Raw genomic sequence first — 18,347 nt, 5'->3', positions numbered from 1 at the left:
ATGGAATCATCGAATGGAATTGAACGAAATCATCATTGTATGGAATCAAGTGGAATCATTGAATGTACTCGAATGTAATCATCGGAGAATAGAATCAAATGGAATCATCAAATGGACTCGAATGGAATCATCATCGAATGGAATCGAATGGAATCATCGAATAGACTCGAGTGGAATCATCGTCGAATATAATCAAAAGCAATCATCAGATGGATTCGAATACAATCCTCGAATGGACTTGAATGGAATCATCATTGAATGGAATCAAATGGAATCACCGAATGGACTCGAATGAAATCATCATCGAATGGAATCGAATGGAATAATCATCGAATAGAATCGAAAGGAATCATCATCAAATGGAATCAAATAGAATCATCAATGAATGGAATCGAATGGAGTCTTCAAATGGAGTCCGTTAGAATCATCATCGAATGGAACCGATTGCAGTCCTCATCTAATGGAATCAAATGAAATCATCGAATGGACTCAATGGAATCATCATCGCATGGAATCAAATGGAATCATCGAATGGACTCACATGTAATCATCATCGAATGGAATCGAATGGAATAAACGATTGGACAGGAATGGAATCACCATCGAATGGAAACGAATGGAATCTTCGAATGGAATTGAATGAAATTATTGAACGGAATCAAATAGAATCATCATTGAACAGAATCAAATTGGATCATCATCGAATAGAATCTAATGAAATCAACATTGAAAGGAATCTAGTGGAGTTATCATCTAATGGAATTGAATGGAATCAGCAAGGAATGGAATCGAATGGAGAAATTGAATGGAATCCGTTGGAATCATCATCGTATGGAACCGAATGCAGTCATCATAGAATGGAATTGAATGGAATCAATGAAGGGACTTGAATTGTGTCATCATTGAATGGAATCGGATGGAATCATCAAATGGACTCGAATGGAATCATCGAATGGACTCTAATGGAATCATCATCAAATGGAATCAAATGGAATCGAATTGAATCATCGAATGGACTCTAATGGAATCGTCATCGAATGGACTCGAATGGAATCATTGAATGGACTCGAATGGAATCATCATCGAATGGAATCGAGTGGAATCTTCGAATGGAAACAAATGGAATCATTGAATGGAATCGAAGAGATTTATAAGAAACTTACTTGAACCAAACAATAGAAAAACAAACAAACCAAAACTCCCTAAAACTGTGATGAGGAAAGTAGACATCAGAACAGGAAATATCACTGGGGATGAAGAATAACATTTCAAAATGAAAAAGGGGAAAATACACCAAGAAGTCATGTAAATAAGAAATATGTATGCACACAATAGCATTACTTCAAAATACTTAATATAAAACCTATTAAAACTGAAAGGTAAAATAGTAAAACCATAGTCATCCATGGGGATTTCAACAGTCTCCTGCCAGAAATTTTTAAATTTTGTTAAACGAAATGTTGGGAAGGGTAGAGAGGATCTTAAAAATATAATTAGCCAATTTGATCTAATTGAATCTTTTAGAACAATCTAAGGATGAGGAATGAGGTAGCAGAGAGAGAAAAGGCAGACATCAAGGTGACATTAGTGTTTCAAGGCTATGAGAATACACCAATAATGGTGTGTGTGTGTGTGTGCAGATGGTAAGCTCAATCTTAAAAATGTTGAGTTTTAACTGACAATTCATTATTAGGAAAGATAAGAGGAAATGATATCTAGTGAGAGGCTATATGACTGAACTCTAAGAGAAAGGTCACAGCAGAAATTGTGTACTTGACAGCTCTATAAGAAGGTCAGTCAAAAATAAGTCAGTGATGAATTCTCTGGTGTAAAAGCAGAGGAATGAGGATTAGATTGAAAACACATGGAAGCAGAGTGACTTATGATAAAAACATGAGCTTGAAAATCCTGCAGAGAGGGCTTTAAATCCTGGGTATGATATTCTGCTTGTGTAGGCAATAGTGATAAAAACACAACAACAAAGAGAGGTAAAGAGCACTTTCCTTTGATATAAATAAAGGGCACGTCTTATTGCACATATATATATATGTATTGAACTGAGATTCAACATGTTTCTCTCATTGAAACAGCAAGCTCTCCAGGCCTCCATGTTCCCAGTGAGGTAGGTAACCTTCTGATGATTATACTCACCCTCCCTCATTGCAAAGCTCCCATTGTTATTGTCTTGGCTCTGGATTCCCTCAAAAATAGACTATGAAACAAATATCTGGGGTCAGATACTTTAATCAGAAATTGAGTGAGAAAGCACAGAAGTGGAGAAAATGAAACAGAACACGAAGCCAGTGTCAATGAGTAGTTACTACTGTGTGCTCAGTAATGATGGAGGTATGGAGATTGTGTCAAAATAACTTTACAAAGAGATGGGGATGCTGGAATCCCCATCTCTTATTGCTTAAGGATTGCCTTAGAATCATTAACTCTCCACCCCTAACTCCTTCTTTGTTCCTATGTGTGGTTGAGAAGCACTGGTTAGCCTCAAGAAGCTTGCAGGCAGGCCCAAAAATCAGAAAGACAGGCATGATGTGGGGAGCTCTCAGTTAGCTGGAATCAGGTGAATTTCAGATGAACACATTGAGTCCAGGACATAGAAGACAAGTCATCAGCAATATCTGCTATAGCCAGTTTACTTTTTCTTTTTAAGAATATATATACATTTTATTGGGGGTCCCCAAGTCCCCCTTTGGCTTAATGATTCACATAACCCAAGAAAGCTGATTTTTTTTTGTGGTTATAGTTTCTAACAGTGAAAGAAACCAGATTAAAATAATCAGAAGCATAAAAGCACATAAAGTTGAGTCCAGGACAAACCAGATGTGAGCTTACAGGTGTCCTTTCATAGTGGGGACTTCACACTGACTAATTTTCTTTACAATGGTGTGAGACATGTGTGAACTTATTACCAACTAGGGAAGCTCAGTCAGTCTTGAGTCCAGGGTTTTTATTAGGATTCCGCCACATATGCATCAAGCGTCCTGTGACTGAACATAGCTACTCAGTTCCCAACCTCCCTATGCGTTAAGAGAGGTCATATTAATATGGCATTACACAAAGTCATAGGCATACAGAAACAGGTGCTCACAAGAAATCACGTTGTTAGCATCAGCTATTTGATATGACCTACGTTTTCATGTATGCAAAGACTCACATCAGGCAACATATACCAAGGGCTCATAGGTTAACATCTCCCAGGAGCTTGTCAAGGGCCAGTCCTGAAGACCTTTGGAATGCGCAAGATTTTGGAAAGCCATGTCTGCAGAATTAACCCTTCATTACACAACCTCCAAGACTTTTTTTTATCTTTAAAAATGTTCTTTGGTCTTTGACAATGTACCAACCAATACTGAGTAATTAGTAACAACAGTGTACTCCTGAGTACTTGCACCTGCAAGGAGAAAAAGGACAGACGCACTTACATAGGACAGATGCGTATAGACACCACTATGACAAGTAAAGCTGGAATAATCAATAAATTCCTAAAGACAAAGTGGGGCTGGTGAGATTGGGAGACCGCTGACAGCTGCAGAAGTTGGGAAAGATCCACCATCTTGAAAACATTTTCCCCACAAACTCAATGCGATCTCTCAAGCAATTGGTAAGGAATTCAAGAGAGTCTGTATATGACACAGATCAGGGAGAGCAGAACACTTCGGAGGTGACCAGGTCTTGGGGGTCGAGCCCATATGAATGGGGTTAGTGTCTTTATAAAAGAAGCTCAATGGAGTTCTTGTGTGCCTTCCACTACGTGAGGACATAGAAAGAAGGCACTATCTATGAACCATGAAATGGGCTCTCATCAACACTGAATTTGTGAGCATCTTGACCTGAGATCTTACAGCCTCAAGAAGTGTGAAAAAAAAATCTGTTGCTTTTTAGTCACTCAGTTTATGTTATTTTGTTATAAGAGTCCAAATAGAGCAAGATATTCCACTTAATATGTAGGGGAAGGCAACAAAAACTGCCACACTTAGAATACTCCTGATGCTGGGAGTATGAAAACAAGAAAAACAAAACAAACCTGCTCTAGAAGGTGAAGGAGGAATATCACTGAGCTCACCAACACAGCCAGGAAAAGAACAGAAGTGTGAGAAGGTTACATTCCTGAGACCCTGAGAAAAAGTACCTGCATAAGACTGAGATCAAATTACCTACTCTAGTTATGATTGAAATCCCAAAAAGAAAAGAGGGAAAAATAATGGAGCAAAAGAAATATTTTTCAAAATAACTGCCAAAAATATTGTAAAAGAAGTGACAGAAAATCAAACTTCAAATATAGGAAACTCAGAGAATGTCAAATAGAACAAAAAGAAATAAGAATTACATCTTGAAAAATCTTTAAAAAGTCAGGTCTAAATTTTATATCTTGCTCCAAATATATAGAGATATAAATAGGTTATCATCAAGATATGGAGAAAGCCATATCATGGAAACACTAAAATAAGGCTGTGGAAGGACTACATCGATATTAGCCACAACAGAGTTCGGAACAAGAAATAGTATCAGAGATGAGAGATAATACATAATAGAATCATCAATTACATACAAGAAGATGTAAACATCCTACTAATTAGGGTATGCAGCTAACAACAGAACCTCCAAATACATGAGGTAAAACAAGAAAGAAATCAAAGGTGAACTAGAAAAAATCAAAATTATATTTGCAGACTTCAACACTTTTGTCTTAGTAATGGAAAGACAAGGCACAAACTCAATAATCATGTGGAAGTTAAGAACAACAATATCACCAACAAGACATCCAATCTTCAATGGCAGATAATCTTTCCTTTCTAGTGAAAAAAAAACAATATGGCATATTCTCTAACAAACCCAGAATTTATAACATTAGCGTTCTTCCTTACTTCTTTCCATCTTCCTTTCTCTTCTCTTCCCTTCACTTGCCTTCTTCCTTCCTTTCTTCTTTTCCTCTTCCTTTTCTTTTTTCTTTTCCTTTCTTTCTTTTCCTTCTTTTTTTCTCCTTCCTTCCTTCTTTCCTTCTTTGTTTCTTTCCTCTTATTCTTCCTTCCCTAATCCCTCCCTTCCTTTCTCCCTCCCTTTTCTTCCTTCTTTTCTCATATTCTTTCTTTCTTTCTCACGTTCTTGCTTTCTTTCCTTTTTTCTTCCTTCCTCCCTCCCTTCCTTTCCTCTTTTTCTTTCCTTCCTTCGCCTGTTTCTTTTCTTTGTTTCTTTGCCTTCCTCCCTTTTACCATTCTCTCTTCCTCCTTTCCTTCCTCCCTTCCTTTCCTTCTTTCTTTCTTGTGTTCATGTTTTCTGTTTTCTCCCTTCCTGCCTTTCTCCCTTCCTCCCTCCCTCCCATCCTTCCCTCATTTCCTCCTTCTTTTCTCTTTCTTTCTTTATTCCTTCCTTCCTTCTTTCCTTCCATCTTTTTCTTTCTTTGTTTTCTTTTCTTTCTTTCTCTTTATTGCAATTAATATTATTTTAGAAAATTAAGAGAGGGAGTCAGAAACATATAGAAAGCTTTAATCTGCAGGTAAATAGATTATGTCTGCTGTAGGCCAAAGAATGGCCTCCCAAAAATTTTCATGTCCTAATTCCCAGAGTCTAACATACAAATATGTTAGGTTGCACGGCAGTGTGAAATTAGATTTCAAGTGAAATTAAGGTTGCAGAAAAACGATAGAGAGATTGTCTTAAATGGGTGGGATCAATGAAATCACAAACTTCCTTTTAAGTGAAAGAAGAAGGCAGAAGAAAGGCAACCTTGGAGGTGGTGGCATGAGAAATTACTCAACATCACTGACTTTTAAGATACAAGAATGAGGACCCAGTGGGGTGGCTTACGCCTAATCCCAGCACTTTGGGAGGCTAGGGTGGGTTTATCCCGAGGTCAGGAGATCGAGACCATCCTGGCTAACATGGTGAAACCCCATCCCTACTAAAAATACAAAAAATTAACTGGGTGTGGTGGCAAGTGTCTGTAGTCCAAGCTACTCAGGAAGCTGAGTCAGAAGAATCACTTGAACCCGGGAGGCAGAGGTTGCAGTGAGCTGAGATCGTGCCACTGCACTACAGCCTTGGTGACAGAAGGAGACTCCATCTGAAAAAAAAAAAAGAAAAATAGGATATAAGAATGAGGTCATGTTCCAAAGAATAAAGGTGGCCTCTGGATGCTGAAAAATATCAAGTAATAGATTATGCCACATAGCCCTCAGAAAGACTGCAGCCCTACCCAAAACTTGATGTTAGCCCTGCTAGTTTCATTTAAGGCTTCTGTACTACAGAACTGTTGGATTAACGGTCACTTTATTGTAATATATGAAGTTTGTGGTAATTGGTTACAGCAGCAAGAGGAAGTTTATATTGTAATTGTATCATGAAAATGAGAACCATAATTTACAACTGCTTTTAATACTGCCCTTGGATGTTTGAAATCACATACATGGAAATGATCTCTATGTGCATGAGGGAGGATAGCAAATTGATGCCAAAATAATGCAAATGCAAATCTTACACTCATTTCTATGTAGGTTTCATTTAATCTTTGAAATTAAAATGAAATTAAAAGATTGTGATCTTTTGATGAAATTAGACTAAAATGAACAATAACAAAATAAGAACTTACTTATATTCTTTATATGGTCAATAAAGAAGTGATAGTGGAAAAAAACAAGATCAAATGAAGGTGATGATTTAGGAAGTTGGAAAGATAGCTGAAACTACAAAATGGTATATAACCAGTGAACACTTAGACACACTGATTGATGAACTTCAGCTTTTGGCTTGGTGAGAGCATAAAATAAGAGCAGCTGAGGTTTCCAAATTAGTAATCTCCTTGTGGAAAAACAGGGGAAAACACATCTCAGCCTGATAAGATTTCTCTACTAAAGAGTCTAGACTTGATCCATTTGTCCTTGTAATTCAGAAGCTAATTCAAATACTGATTTGATGTATTGTGTGAACAACCATTGCTGATTATCATCGCATACCTGGCATTCTCTTGTATCTGATATCTAAAATATTTGGTAATTCCTGGACTTTCTCTTTTCAAACCCAGGACGGTTTAATTTGAGTCTTAGAACAGTTGTCTTTGAGAAATTCTTCCCTCTACTGCATCTGTGAATGGGTATAGCATGGTTACATACATACTGTCACTCCATAGAACATTTGTTAAATTATAGCCAAAGTTTAAAGCAAGAGCTTTAACTTACTGGTTTTACTAATGGTTTCCTCCCCAATAGCCACAACCATATTGCTACCCTCACACCTTTTAACGTAAAACTTGGTGTTGTCTATTTTTCAGATGCTGTCATCTATATGATCTCAGTATTTTAAAAATCAGCTTCCAGCCCATATGGTGGTTCATGCTTGTAATACCAGCAGTTGAAGAGCCTGACATGAGAGGATTCCTTGAGCCCTGGAGTTCACAAGCAACCTGAGCAACATAGCAAGACCCAGTCTCTATCAAAAGTTAAAAAAAAAAAAGTGGGCAAGGTGATGTGCACCTGTTGTCCTAGCCATTTGGGAGGCCAAGGTGGAAGGATTGCTTGAGCTTGGGAGGCTGAGGCTGCAGTGAGCAGTGATTGCACCACTACACTCCAGCCTAGGCAACAAAGCAAGACCCCATCTCAAAAAATATATATAATAAAAATAAACATCAACTATCATTGATTTCTATGTAAATATGCACAGGTGATGTCCATATAGACATAAATAATAATATTTCTGACAATGGGTCCATATGATCTTCAAAATGTAAAATGCCTGTCTGTGTAATTGACTAGTCTCATTAATGAATATAGATTCAATTCTACTTTCTTGTTCTAGATAAATTATATAATCTAGCTTTTCATTTCACTTATTTACTGATAACAACAGGAAGAATGACAAGATATCTATTTTGGAAAATTACTCTGGTAGGAGTAAAGATGAAACAATGATAGAATTGCACGGACAACTAGAAAAAAGTATGGTCTTCTGATATTCTATCACATCACATACTAAAGGCCTCATAAAACTCAGATATTTTATCTAAAAATGTTATTTTCATCATAGGAATGATCAAAGCATGAGACTACAATTGTATTAAAATGTGCTTGTATCACAAGCACAGGTGCTAAAAAGGAGGGGAAAACATCCTTACTGATATTTTCAACGTATGTTTTACTTTTCATCAACATGAACCTCAACTTGATATGATGCAGATTGAAGGAAATCACCCATAATTCCATAAGAAGAAGGCCTGTGATATTTTATGGGAAAATAAATAGAGAAAATGCTAACAGAAACTCTGTTAAGCATGAAGCTTTATGGAGCAAACACAAATCCAGTGGTGAAAGATAAACACTCGAGTTCTGTTTGTTGTCTTGGAACAATACGGTTTAGGGGTGACTGGCGGGTGAGGAGAACATATGCGAGTTCACCAAAGAGAAAAGCTGAATGAGGCAATGCCTCTTCCTGAGCATATCTCTTACTCAGATAACTATAGAATTTATTGTCCAGTAAAGGGTATATTAAAAAATCATATTAAAAGTCATGCAGTGAAGTTGTCCAGGGAAATCAAGACTTAACAGTCTCACTCTGACAATAATGAACAGGGGGATTCCCTCAAGATAGACTAGGACATGACCCCACACTGGCAGGTAGTAGTACCAGAAAAGAACCCATGGAAAATCTTTACCTTATGCTTGAGGTAGGGACCAGGCTAAAGTGAAAGCCAGACCTAAAATTCTATCTAAAATAAATCCACAATCGAAGAAAATATGTGGTGTACAGGCATAGAATGTCTTTACTGGATCATTGAAATAGTAAGATAAATTCAACTTTTTACATTGTTGTCTTTTCCTCCAGTTAGGGCTTCAGGTTTGTCTCTGGAGAGTGACTGTCAATTGGATCCCTGCCTTTCTGGGGTTCTGGTCAGGGGGTTGTGGATGCTTAACATGTGCCTTTCACAGGACACTTCCTTACCCCAGTGGTGGCCAGGTGTGCATCCCACGACCAGGCCTCCCTCTCACAGAACATCTGTTGAGACTAGGAGATGCCTGGTGACTGTTGCCTGACCTGTGTCCTGTGTATTTCTGACAAGAGCCACTCTCAGAGACCCTGGCCAGGAGGAGAGTTAGGTTCTAGTGTAGGTCAGCTCAGACACATGGAGGCCACAGAACCAAACATGGGAAATCACAGAAGTAGGTTTATTACTCACAGATCCAGAGAGAAGAGGGTAGCTGAGAAGAGGGTTTAGCTGTGTCCCCAGCCAAATCTCATCTTGAATTCCCACATGTTGTGGGAGGGAACAGGTGGGAGGTAATTGAATCATGGGGGCAGGTCTTTCCCATGCTGTTCTTCTGATAGTGAATAAGTCTCACAAGATCTGATGGTTTTATAAAGGGGAGTTTCCCTGCACAAGCTCTCTTTTCTTGTCTGCTGCCATGTGAGACGTGCCTTTCAGCTTGCACCATGATTGTGAGGCCTACCCAGCCATGTGGAACTGTTCGTCTATTAAACCTCTTTCTTCTGGAAATTACCCAGTCTTGGGCATGTCTTTACCGGCGGTGTGAAAATGGACTAATACAGTAGCACACCTCATAGGGCTGAACAAAATGGGGAAGATGAGTGGGGAGCAGGAGAGAGAAAAGGGGTCTGTGGGACTCCAGCCATATTTGGCCCAGAACATTACCCAAATAAGTTTTCCACGGGGCACTAGTCGGTGGGGTGAGTGCCAGCAGGCACATTTCTTGACTCCCGCTGCAAGCGAGCAGGTTACTGTGGCGTGTGGGGGCTGTCCATGTGCGCTGTGAGGTCTGTGGGGTGAGTCAGGTAGGTTGTATCCAACGGTTCCATAGCTGGTAGTCACCACGAGGAGATAACTGTGTAGGGTCAATATCTGGGCCAACCACACTGAGGAAGTGTGAGGGTTAGAACTGGAAATTGTCAAGAGAATCCGAACCCAGCTACCATATGAGAGAGTTCAACTTATGTTCAATGTGAATGCCATGGCAATATTAAAAGGTAAGAATTCGCTCCATATGTGCTTGAGGTAAATAGGAGAAACCTAGAATTTCTGTAAACAGTGAGAAGATTGGATGCGTTTTCCATCTCATATTTTAATACTAGCAACATATTATATATGTCAATCCATCAGGCATTCAGAAATACATGCTTATGAAAAATTTTTGCACCATCAGACAAAAGACAAGGGTAGAAGACATTTGTAACCCTATAAACACTAGTAAATTAAAAACAGAAGGACCTTTATGTCCTAACATATCTGTGTTGTGAAAGGCTGCCCTGTGAAATATGGGATTTCTTAAACATATTTTAAAAATCATAGGTGTCAATGTTTTTAGAAATCCGTTTAAATTTTCTCTTGTTATTTTACAATGCCTATTTATTTATTTAGTGGCTCTGCTGATTTTGATGTATATCCAAAACTTTATATTTTCTTTAAAATATGTTTTATACAACTTTATGTAAAATGTTTCAGTATCTTCACATTCTCTCCCTGTCCTTTTGTTTTGCTCTTATATGGTGGTCTTGAGTCTTTTCTCTGGCTTTTCAAACCTAGTAAGACTAAGACACTAAGGTAACTTTGCCCGTGGTTTGGTAATGCCTTCTAAAGCACATCCTAAGCTCTCGTGCATACAGGGGTCTCCTTTGAGCTCTGTGCTTTTGAGATCCCATACACCTAAATTCCAGTACTCCAAATCAGTACTGCTCGGTTTTAGTGACTAAGTTTAAAAATGTATTTTAATAGCAAGTTAGTTTAGTGCCCTCTTGCTTCTTTCTTGACTGCTTGTATACATTTATATTCCTTTAAATGAATCTTGAAATTTATTTAGAAATATTAAATTATACTAATGAAACTGTATATTGTTGTGAATTCATAAGTGAATTTGGAAAGAATTTGTCTTTATGATACTAAATCCTTTTTATCCAAGAATCATATATGTCTTTATATTTATTCCAGTCTATATTTATATCACTGAGTAAATATGTAGAAATGTGGATACATACAGCTGTAGTTACAGATACAAATATAGATATAACCTGCTAAATCTATATCTATCCCATATAACATATATACATGTTATATGTGTGTGTTTATATATATATGTTTATGTCGTGAAAGAGCTCCCTTAATATTTTTCTTTTATTTCCCTTATAATTTTAGGTCGAGCTTGAATTTTCCTTGTATAAACAAGCAAATATTTATACTAGTATTATTACTGATGTTTAGACATTGTATCTTATTTTAGCGCTGAGTATTTTCACAATTATTATAAATATTATCTAATACTAATAATGTACCTGTTAAAAATATCTAAAATTTTACCTTTGAATTATTTTATTGTTGAATTAAAATTCTTTTAATATGATAGTCAATTTCTATGTTATGCTTTCTCTATGCATATGCAAATTAATGTATCCACTTCTCTATCTCTATGTAGTAACATATGAAAATCAGGCCTCTCTTCTTCTAATGGACATACACATGTTTGCATATAGAATATCAGACTCTTTATAGCATTTAAAATCTTTAAAGACATGAATATTGCCTTTTAACAAATATATTATAGCATGTACTGAGAATCCCCTATTTATTTTTAATTTGGGCTAATCAATATGATTATTAATATTACTGGATTACCAAATTTGGAAACACACTTTCATCCCGAAGGTGGATTTTTTTTTTTTTTTTGCCAATTTCTTGTCTAATTGTTTCAAATATTGTTGGATATTATTTGTATTTTATTTGGCATTTTAGTATCAACATTTGTAATTGAGGTACTCTACATATTTTTTCATCAATATCTGGTGGGTTTCATAGTTACTGCTATATTGGATTTGTAGTAGACATTGACAAAAATTATTCCTGTATGTTTTATAGCTGTATGAAGGAAACTAATATATTTTACCCCTAAATATATTTCCTTGATATATTTCAAAATGGCTATTGAGAAGGGCTGGAAATGCAATGTTAGCTGCAAAGCTGTCTTGGGGAGATTTGCATCGGTAGAGAATCTGCCCTGATGCAGCCAGGTTTTCTCTGAGGTCTGCCCCCTTGTCTGGATCTAGGAAAGGTTAACTGAGAGGCTGAGGTCTCCAAATGTCTGAAAGAAACATTTTCTGTCTATTCTCTCTGAGGACTACTCCCAGTGAGATTCCACCTATGTAATAAGTCCACTGTTGCTAGCCAGGGTCGTTTTCTCACATAACCTTTTTCTTTCTTTTCCCTGTGATCCAAGACCCCATTTTTCTGTAAACTTCATGTGGTAGATAAGTTTCTGCACGCATCGTGTGACTGGGTCTTCGTTCTAAGGGTTCCAGTGTACACACATTGCAGAAACCTGTATGCCTTTTCTACTATTTATCTGCCTCCTATTAGTGATTTTCAGGGAGACTTCAGAAGGCAAAAGGGACATTCTCCTTTAGCCCATTATCAGACAAATTCCCCCAACATTTAACTGATTCCTAATAGCTTAAAATCACTTTGAAAAATACATATATTTATATCCTTTTCTTCCCTCAATGATTTCCGGTCAGCTTGGGTTTTGTTTTTCATTCCATTTACTTCATCCTCGAAAAGATCTATTTTACGTCTATTTATTCTCATTTATGGACATGGAGAAAAGAAAATAACTTTCATGTGAGAAATGCAAGTCCTTTGAAATAATCAGGCCCAGAGAGATATTCAAATGACACAGCAGTTCTGTCCTGCTCCTCTTTGAGCTGTGTGTTCATCTAGGCTGCTTGCTGTTGCCACAGTAGCTATGAATTAACCAATAACGCCACACCAGACACTATAATCCACACCCCATAATAGTGTAACCGTGTATAGCCAGTCACTAATAAATGTTATTTCCATAAGCCAATGAGAATTTGTGACAAACCTCTTTGCATCATCCCACTTCTGGACCCTTTTTTACCTTTAAGAAACTGCTTGTTGCAAAGCTCCAAAGGGAGTTCACATCCAAGGATACTTGGGTCTGTTTCTTCCAGGCAGCTGTCCTCACTGTGGCTTAAGTAAACTCTTTGAATTACGTTTTGTGCTTCAGCCCCTTCCACTTAGATTAACAACATGGATTTGTGTCACCATGTACAGCAATTAAAATGTTTACACTTTTCCCCTCGAGGGCACTGATGTGTTTTCCTGAGCACTTGGAATAGCTACGTAGTGTTTCCTGTCTAGATTATGGTTTCTCAACCTTGGTGCTACTTACCTTTAGGACCAGAGGATTCTTTGTTGTGGGAGGCTGCCCTAGCAATGCTAGGTGTTTCTTGTGACCTCTAAATTTCACACCTCCACCAGTCTTGACATCCCCACGATAACCCTAGACATTGACAAATGTCTCCTGGGGAAAACTCTCCACCAGTTGACAGGCAAAGTTCTGGAAATATTGGAATTGTCAATTGAGATTTTATGTTATCCAAAACAAATATTTTTCTTTGTTTTTAAACATCTACTTCCATCTACTTATCTACTTATTTTTACTTTTATTTGTAACTTAATTCCATCAAGGAGAGAGAGTGCATTTTCTGTTATGCTAAATTTTTGAAGAATGTATTGATATTTTATGACCTGATATATGGATGATATGTAGATATTACATGTTTGTATTATCAAATTTCAGGGTGATAATAAAATAAATACTTATAATATTTATATTGTCACTGTATATTAGTTATTTTCTTTCTTCACTACAGGAGTTTTTCAACCTATAGGCTATGTTTCAATTCTAGGTTATCCAGTAGATTTTGAAATGTTCTGATTAAATATCTACTTCTCAAGCATTCATCTTTGCAAATGAAACGATCCCAAGCTCTTATAATACACATCATATAAAGGGCAGATTAGTCAATGTATGGTTCAGAAATAATTATGTAATATTTATAAGAAAATTAAAAATTTATATCCTTAACTCAGATAAGAATAATCCAAATTAAAATTGGATTTCATTACATAATTTAAAATGACACCAGAATGCTAGTAAAAATTATACAAAAAATTTATGTAATCTTATTAAGCTGTGGGACTTTATTAGCATAAATTCAAATACAGGAACCAAAGTAAGATTGAGAGCTATAGTCAAAGGTTAAAATGTACACATTATAGGGGCATGATTAAACTAATTTAAAGCATAATAACATGGAGAAATATTGCAAAACATACATTTTACTGAATTAATTGTTAGTATCTAATCATTTTGTGAGAACCAAATTAAAAAGTAGCTACACACGCACACACCCACACACAAGTGCAATACTGTCAAATAAACGATGTTCAGCTACACTAGAAATCACACCTGTGTTTTCTCCACAGAAAAGATTAAAAATCGCAATAATTTTTATTGTACATATGGAGGTAAAGATACTCAAAATATTACCCTAAAATACATTATTTTTTTGAGATGGAGTTTTGTTTTTATTGCCCAGGCTAGAGTGCAATGGCACAATCTTGGCTCACTGCAACTTCAGCCTCCCAGGGTCAGGTAATTCTCCTAGCTCGGCCTCCCAAGTAGCTGAGATTACAGGCATGCACCACCACACTCGGCTAATTTTTTGTATTTAGTAGAGACGGCGTTTCACCATGTTGGTCAGGCTGGTCTCCAACTCCTGACTTCAGGTGATCTACCCACTTCAGCCTCCCAAAGTGCTGGGATTACAGGCATGCGCCTGGCCAGCTTTTTGACATATTTCACGATGGCTACTCGGAAGACTGGAGATAGCTTCTTCTACAAGAATAGCTGAAAAGCTGTGTTTGTTGGGGAGATTTGCATTTGTAGAGAAAATCTGCATTGATATAGACAGGCTTTCCCTGAGATACTCCCTTGTCTGGGTATAGGAATGATTAACTGAGCCTGGCACGTTTACATTTCTAAAAGCCATTTCCTATCTATACTTCCCAAGAGGAGGGCTGCTCCCTGTGAGGTTTCATCCATGTAACAAGACCACCTCTGCTGCCAGGCTCCTCTTTCTTCCTTGTCGTCACCTGTCTTCCACAAAGCCTGATTTACCAACCTACAGCTCTGTGTTTTCTGCAACCTCAAGACAGCATAGGCGTGTTGACTACCTTGCCTTTCCTGGAGTTTTTATATAAAGAGTATATATTTGTATATCTCTTTATAATATACAAATATTTGTATAGATATAATATATATATTATGTAAACTCCAAGTGCATACTTGTGCACATATCTGTAAACCTTTTTTTCCTGTTAATTTGTACATTATCAGTTTGTTTTATAGACTCAAATAATTAAAGCTTCAAGGGAAAAATTTAAATTTTCCTATAGAGAAAAGACAAATATATAGGTGACAAATAATATTTAGAGTGTAAGACGCTTTTTAAAGGTATATTTGCAATTTGTGTCAAAACATTGAAATGTACATTTGTTATTTTAACAATAAAATTTCAATTAATTTAAGCCAAATACATAGTATATGCAGAAAATTTAGCAATATATCTATGTAGCACCTTACTGTGAATTATTGTAACCAGCCGTCTAATATAAAGAATTAATTAAGGTAGCAGCTGCTTTCCAAATAGCGCATTTTTTTCACAGACCTATTAAATAAGACAAATAACATTTAAACTTTATTTTTAAATTTGCAGAATAGTAGTTTTCAGCAGATGGTTTATTTTAGCAAATTCCATCTTCACATTGTGCTATGCTTTTATGAGTTCCAGCTGTTAACGGATACTATTTTACTGCTGAAACTATCATGTGTGATATAATTGTTCATTATGTGCCTTAAAACACAAGCAATATAATTATTTTCAACTTGGAGCAAATTAAAATCTTATCAGCAATTTAAAATCTCTAGAGTCATCTTCTTCTGGTTAATTATTTTAAACTTGTATTTTTCTCTTTATGTTTTTAGTGAGTTCTCTTATCAAGGAGAAGATCTCAAGGTGATTATTCTTTTTTTTCTCTTCCATGCACCTCGCAGGTGTGTTAATAATTTCATTTCTCAGAAAATATTCTTTCATATCTATCTTACAAGATGAGAGACCTTTTAATATCTTCCATTCGGATGTGATACCAGTAATGGAACATATTTCAGCTTCATGAATATGGTGATACAAATAGTTATTCATCTAACCTCTTTCAGTGCCAAATGTTTACTATACTCAGTGAGTTACTCAGTTGACTGGTAATTTCTTCTGAAATCACTAATGAGAGGATCAGAGGTCTGGCTGTGGTCTGTACCTCATATGACTCCCAGTGCAGACAATTGTTTCTATGGAGCACAGACAGTTGAAAGGATTGACTTCCTGCCTAGAATAGTTTCTGCTGTGCTTCTTATCCTTCTTGTGGAGATTTCAGATTACCTGAATTGCTTTTCTATCTTAAGAAAAAACGCAACGATTCTCCCACCTGAGAGGAATGTAAACTGAAGTAAGTTAACAGAACCAATCCATAAAGTTTTTACATTGTTTGTTGCAAAATGCAGCGCTGGTGTCTCCATCACTAACCTTTTCTATCCCTCATTGCTCTTTCTTTGACTGCAATAGGATACCTCTATGCAAATCTGTATTCCCGAGACTGAGTGCCCTTTTGGTGAGCTATAAGCACACTCAATGGTAGGCTGAAATACTAGTTTTTATCTATGGCGAAATGGAATCATATCAGTGAATTTTTTAAAAAGGAAATTTAACTCTTGCTATGGTTTGAATGCTTGCCCCTTCCAATCTCATGTTAAAATTTGATCCCCAATGTTGCAGGTGGGGCTCACTGGGAGGTGTTTGGTCATGGGTTTGGACCTTCATGAATGGATAAAACTCTCCCTTAGAAATCTAAAGCTATCCTCCCTCCTCGGTGCCCTCAGGAATGAGTGTACCATTCCTTATTCACCTATGATTACCCCACCCATCCTTTTTGAGATATTGATTACATGTATGTTACACTGATGCACATTGTCTGACCTATGAGTGAGTTTCTGGTTTTCTTATTTTAGTTTACCGTTTGTCCTTTAGTTTGTAATGCTTCTAATTTGTTCTATAAATGTTCTGATGTTAGGGTAAAATCCATTACTTATTCTATCTCATGGAATTTTTATTTCAAGTATTTATTTTTCATCTATATATGTCACATTTTTCATTTTATAACTTTTATTTTTCTCCTATATTTAATTTTCATTTAAGTACCTTGACATATATATGTATTTATCTATATGTATTTATAAAATATATTTACTTTAAGGATCTTGAAATTTCCTTCTTTTCTGTCATTTATAAATGACTTATTTTTATCCTGTTAATATATATTTTAATTATATATGTCTTACAGCTTCTTTGCATTTCAGAGTTTTTTTTGGGTATTTTGATGTTATGCTATTGAATATCTAGATTTTATTGGCTACCTTTGAATAATGTTGTGACAGGCAGTTCAGTAACTTCAGGATGAGTATTTGTCTTGTTTTAAATCTTCTCTTTAAACTTTGTTGAGTTAGTCTAGAGCCATCTGTAATTTGGAGCTAAATGAGCACTGTCACTAGGGCATGAACCTCCAGTGGTCTTTACTGAATATCCTGGAGGTACAGAGGGGATTCCCTTCTCTGATTAGAATTTGGAATATAAAGAGAAAAGAGAAAAATAGAAAGCTATGCATAAACACGTGCATTAAAATGAATTTTATGTGGGCTTTTTCATGAAAATGTTCCTAAGGTATTTTATTTTTTTATTGTGGTAAAATACACATAACATAAAATGTACTCTGTTAACCATTTTAAGTGTACAGTTCAGTGGTACTAAATATAGTCATAACATTGTCCAGCCGTCCCTACCATCCATCTCCATAATTCGTTTCATCTTGTAAAACTGAAACTCTATACCCATTAAACAATACTTCCCCATTTCCTCCTCCCCCCAGCTTCTGGCAACCATCATCGTACCATCTCTATAATGCTAATCAAGCATAGTGGCTGTGTTTCTTGCTTCCTCTAGTCCGCAGGTAGCATACAAATGTAATAAACTACTTATTCATGTCGCATCTATTTATTTTCTGCCTTATACCAAGCTTGTGGGATTCTCTTAAATACAACATTTTTATACTTACACCTATGCAATACCCATTAGCATCGCCTTCCTAAATCAGGGGAAATTGAGCTTCTGTCAGGTGGAGTAACTTCCTAAGATATAAAACTCAGCATTGAAGTCTGTATACTTCAATATCCTGCCCTCTTCTCATGTGTCTTTACTGCCTTTTATGTATGTGTTAGATGTTCAACAAATTCTCTTTTTTAAACTGAATTTAAGCCGTGGAGCAGTGTTTTGTTGAACAATAAATATGATATAGGACACTCTTCCTCCTTTTCATGTATGATCCTGTTCATGAAAAAGAGAAATTCTTTCATTGTGCTAGAAGCTTAAAA

Source organism: Homo sapiens, chromosome 1 (genome assembly GCF_000001405.40).
Source record: "Homo sapiens chromosome 1, GRCh38.p14 Primary Assembly".
NCBI lineage: Eukaryota > Metazoa > Chordata > Mammalia > Primates > Hominidae > Homo > Homo sapiens.
Note: the sequence above shows the minus strand (reverse complement) of the source record.